Source organism: Homo sapiens, chromosome 6, assembly GCF_000001405.40.
Source record: "Homo sapiens chromosome 6, GRCh38.p14 Primary Assembly".
Lineage (NCBI taxonomy): Eukaryota > Metazoa > Chordata > Mammalia > Primates > Hominidae > Homo > Homo sapiens.
In genome coordinates, this window is record NC_000006.12 from 89,417,852 (window position 1) to 89,422,975 (window position 5,124).

A 5,124-nucleotide genomic window follows, 5' to 3' on the forward strand; every position below is an offset into this window, starting at 1 on the left:
CCACTGGAAGCACTGAAGAAGTTTAAGAAGGGAGGTAGCTAGGCGCAGTGGCTTGTACCTGTAATGCCAGCACTTTGGGAGACCAAGGCAGGATAATCTTTTTGAGCCCAAGAGTTCCTGACCAGTCTGGGCAACACAGGACACCTTGTCTCCACCAAAAAACAGAAAAAATTAGCCAGGTGTGGTGGCATGCAACTGTAATCCTAGCTACTCAGGAGGCTGAGGTGGGAGTATTGCCCGAGCCAAAAGGTCGAGGCTGGAGTGAGCTGAGACTGTGCCACTGCACTCCAGCCTGGGTGACAGAGCAAGGCCAAAAAAAAAAAAAGAGAGAAAAAAGAAAAAAAAAAGGAAGGAAGGAAGGGAGGGAGGGAGGAAAGCAGGGAGGGAGGAAAGGAGGGAGGGAGGGAGGTGGGTGAAATGTGTTGTATACTTTTCTTAAAGCTCACTCTAGGCCAGGTATGGTGGCTCATGCCTATAGCCCCAACATTTTGGGAAGCAGAGGCAGGAGGATCACTTGAGGCCAGGAGGTCAAGACCAGCCTGGGCAGCAGAGCAAGACCCTACCTCTACAAAAAAAAAAAAAATTAAAAATTAGGTGGGCATGGTGGTGTGAGCCTGTAGTCCCAGCTACTCAGGAGGCTAAGGTGGGAAGATCACTTGAGCCCAGGAGTTTGAGGTTACAGTGAGCTACAGTAGTGCCACTGCATTCCAGTATGGGCAACAAGGCAAGACCCTGTTTCAAAAATTAAGAAATAAAATTAAAAAAATAAATAAATTCAAGCTCACTCTGTTAGATTGCTTCCAAAGGTGGCCACAACCATCCATCCCACCTCACATGCCCTTTTGCAAATGGGCCTTTGCCATTTCTCCCTCTGTTTCCACTCCTCCTGAATCTGGGCAGGCCCTGTGACTTGCTTTAACCAACAGAATGTGGTAGAAGTGACAGGGACATAGTGCAGCTTCTGAGATTGGGCTATAAGAGGTCTTGCTGCTTTCTTGGAGCCTTGAGCCATATGGAAAGAATACTGGGCCAGCCTGCTGGAGAGGCCCCATGGATAGTGAGGTCCTGGAGCATGCCAGAGCATGAGGCCCCAGCGTTCCAGCCATCCCTGCTGAGGGGCTAGACACGTGAGTGACACCACCTTGGGTTGTCCAGCCCAAACTTCAGTCATGTGAGAAGGTCCAGCCCACACTACGTGCAATACAGCCTTCCTATTCCAGTTGAACTTGCCCTGCTCAGCTAACCCACAGAATTGTGAGCAAATAAAATGACTGTTTTTTGTTTTTTGTTTTTTTGTTTTAATCATTAAGTGGCTGGGCACAGTGTCTCACGCCTGTAATCCCAGCACTTTGGGAGGCCGAGGTGGGCAGATCACCTCAGGTCAGGAGTTCGATACCAGCCTGGCCAAATGGTGAAACCCTGTCTCTACTGAAAGTACAAAAATTAGCCGGGTGTGGTGGCCGGCGCCTGCAGTCCCAGCTACTCAGGAGGCTGAGGCAGCAGAATCACTTGAACCCAAGAGGTGGAGGTTGCAGTGAGCCGAAATCGTGCCATTGCACTATAGCCTGGGTGTCAAGAGTGAAACTCCGTCTCAAAAAAAAAAAAAAATTAAGATTCGGGGTGGGCTGGACGGAGTGGCTCACACCTAGCCACTCCTAGCACTTTGGGAGGCCGAGGTGGTTGGATCACTTGTCAGGAGTAGCACTTTGGGAGGCCGAGGTGGTTGGATCACTTGTCAGGAGTTCAAGATCAGCCTGGCCAACATGGTAAAATCCCGTCTCTAGTAAAAATACAAAAAAATTAGCTGGGCATGGTGGAGCGCATCTGTAGTCCCAACTACTTGGGAGGCTGAGGCATGAGAATCATTTGAGCCTGGGAGGTGGAAGTTGCAGTGAGCCAAGATCACGCCATTGCACTCCAGCCTGAGCGACAGAGAGACTATGTCTCAAAAAAAAAAAAAAAAAAGAAAAAAACAAAAAAAAAGATTTCAGGTCATTTGTTCTGCAGCGGTAGATAACTGATGAACTGATGAACATATTCTGGCTGATATGGGAAAAATGGATTTTAGAGGACTTACAGGTGGAAGCAGAAATAACAGGTAGGCCACTGGAGTGGTAAGAGAGAAATGAGTGAGAACAGTGGAAATGGAGAGGAGTTGATAGATTTGAGATAAATTTTGGAGGTGGAACAGATAAGATGTATTGATAGATTTAATGTGGGTGGTAAGGGAAAGGACTCCTCCCAAGCATTTGATTTGAGCAACCAGATGTAAGCTAATGCTGTTTATCAAAATATGTAAGACCCAGATAGGAACAGGATTGGGAGGTGAGAAGTGAATCAGGGTCCTAGATTTCTAACATTCTAGTTACTGTGTATTGCTACAGAGCAATCTCTCTTAATCCTGCAATTTTGGCCATTTCTTAGATGTCTATCATGTTGTCTTTGAAATAAATAAATATTTATTTATTCTATAAATTGAATAAATAAATGAAGTTTTCTGACTACAAGCCATGAATGAACCAAAGATGACATTTGTGGTTATCCAAAAAAAAGTCTCAACCTAGTGAGATGGAATTGCTACACAGGAACTTTTCCTGTGTAAAAAAGTAAATTTTAATAAAAATTAACTTTTAGGCAGGGCGTGGTGGCTCACGCCTGTAATCCCAGCACTTTGGAAGGCCAAAGCGGGCGGATCACTTGAGGTCAGAAATTCAAGACCAGCCTGGCCAACATGGTGAAACCCCATCTCTAGTCTCTAATAAAAATACAAAAATTAGCCGGGCGTGGTGGCATGTGCCTGTAATCCCAGCTACTCAGGAGGTTGAGGCAGGGAATCATTGAACCCGGGAGGTGGAGGTAGCAGTATGCCGAGATTGTGCCATTGCACTCCAGCCTGGGTGACAGAGCAAGACTCCATCTCAAAAATAAATAAATAAAAATAAATAAAAATAAATTGGCCGGGCACGGTGGCTCACACCTGTAATCGCAGCACTTTGGAAGGCTGAGGCAGGTGGATTACGAGGTCAGGAGTTCAAGACCAGCCTGGCCAAGATGGTGAAACCCCGTCTCTACTAAAAATACAAAAAAAAATCAGCTGGGCACAGTGGCAGGTACCTGTAATCCCAGCTACTTGGGAGGCTGAGGCAAGAGAATCGCTTGAACCTGGGGGAAGGAAGTTGCAGTGAGCCGAGATCATGACACTGCATTCCAGCCTGGGTGACAGAGTGAGACTCTGTCTCAACAAAAATAAATAAATAAATAAAAATAAATTAACTTTTATCCAGGTTCAGTGGCAGGCTCCTGTAAGTCCCAGCTACTTGGGCGCCTGAGGCTGAAGGATCACTTAAGCTCAGGACTGCAAGGCCAGCTTGGGCAACATACCAAGAACCTGTCTCTAAAAAACAAATTTAACTTTTTATTCATATAGACTTTTAAGGACAAGCTTCTGATGTAAATAGTGCTATCACATGAGAGCAGAAAGCTCTCTCTTGACAACAGAGTCGGCAGTACAGAGGTATTAAATGCTCCACATGTCTGTAGATCAGTTTGGACTTGGCAACCCCTGCTTTGGATGGGAGAGTTACAACAACTTATATATTCAATGATATAAGTAAGCAGATACTCCAAGAGAAACAACCTCATTAAAAATTCACTAGAATGAAGTCTCAGAACTGTCACTTACACAGTATGTGTACATACTGTGTACTTACACAAAAATAGCAGGCACTATCAGTCAGCTACCTCCAAGCCATTCCCAAACCTTCTACAAGCCCACTTTCCAAATTAGAGCAGGGAAAATCAGATACTTAAACTCCAAGACCCTTTCACATCTGTTCAGTAAGCTGTGAGGAGGAATCCTGCTGGGGAACTTCTAGGAAAGAGTTTGCTTCCTGATAAAAGAGACTGACGAATCAGAAGAGTCCCCTGATACCACCATTTCCCAATTTGAACCCCATTTGTAAGAACATGGTACTTGGAGGTGGGGAGGCCATCTTGCAACCATGAAATAACCATGCAACCTGAGGTTGAAGATAAAAGTCCATCATGGGAATAGCAGCATAAAGAGAGGAAAGCTCTAGATGACCTTGCTGAACAGCTGCACTCTAACTGGGAAATGCCTACCTCAAACTTCTTTTTTTTCACCCAACAAGAAGCCATAACTTTATTAATAATACAAACAGCACAAATTTCAAACCAAGCTGCAGTTACTCTTTTGAAACACACACAAAAAGATCCTCATCTTCAGATTACATTAATTCCATGATAGCATTTACAATATCAGCACTGTTGTTCTTCAGGACTCCGACTGCCTTTGCTCACACATTTGCTTGTGACAAGACCAATCCTATATCCTTAAGTTTCACACCTGCTTCCTCAACCTCCTCCTCTTACCTCTCCTCTTATATAGTTAAGTCTGCATGTTTTCTTGAATGTTTGAGACAACTTCACCTTGAACTTTGAACTTCTCAGCAGCTCTTAGCTGTGCTTGTTGAGATAAATCTTTGATCTTAGTTCCCCGCTCCCCCCTCCCCAAGCCAAACTATGTAGGTGTTTGAAGCTAGGCTCTTGTAGACATCTGGTTTTGTGATGACAAAGAGGATATTCTTAGATTTCGGGATAGCGACTCTAGTAACCCTCATAGCCTTTCACAGACCCAGTTTGGACATAGCCATAGCCTTCTGTGCCTTCTTTTCTTTTCTTTCTTTCTGTCTTTTGAGACGGAGTTTCACTCTGTCGCCCAGGCTGGAGTGCAGTGGTGCAATCTCAGCTCACTGCAACCTCTGCCTCCTGAGTTCAAGTGATTCTCCTGCCTCAGCCTCCTGAGTATCTGGGATTACAGGAACGTGCCACCATACTTGGCTAACTTTTGTATTTTTAGTACAAATACTAGACTAGTACTTAGACTAGAGATGGGGTTTCACCATGTTGCCCAGGCTGGTCTCGAACTCCTGACCTCAAGTGATCTATCTGCCTCGGCCTCCCAAAGTGCTGGGATTACAGCTGTGAGCCACCGTGCCTGGCTATGTGCCTACCCTTCACTCTGACTGTGTTTTGCTTTCTTGACTGGTTCTTCATCAAATGCGGCTGCTGCTGCCACCTGGGCTTATTCTGTGGAATTTTGTT

At 45.2% G+C, this 5,124-nt stretch overlaps 1 pseudogene; it reads right to left on the reverse strand.

The window, feature by feature from the left end:
• Positions 4,139–4,819, reverse strand: NACAP7 (NACA pseudogene 7; annotated as a pseudogene).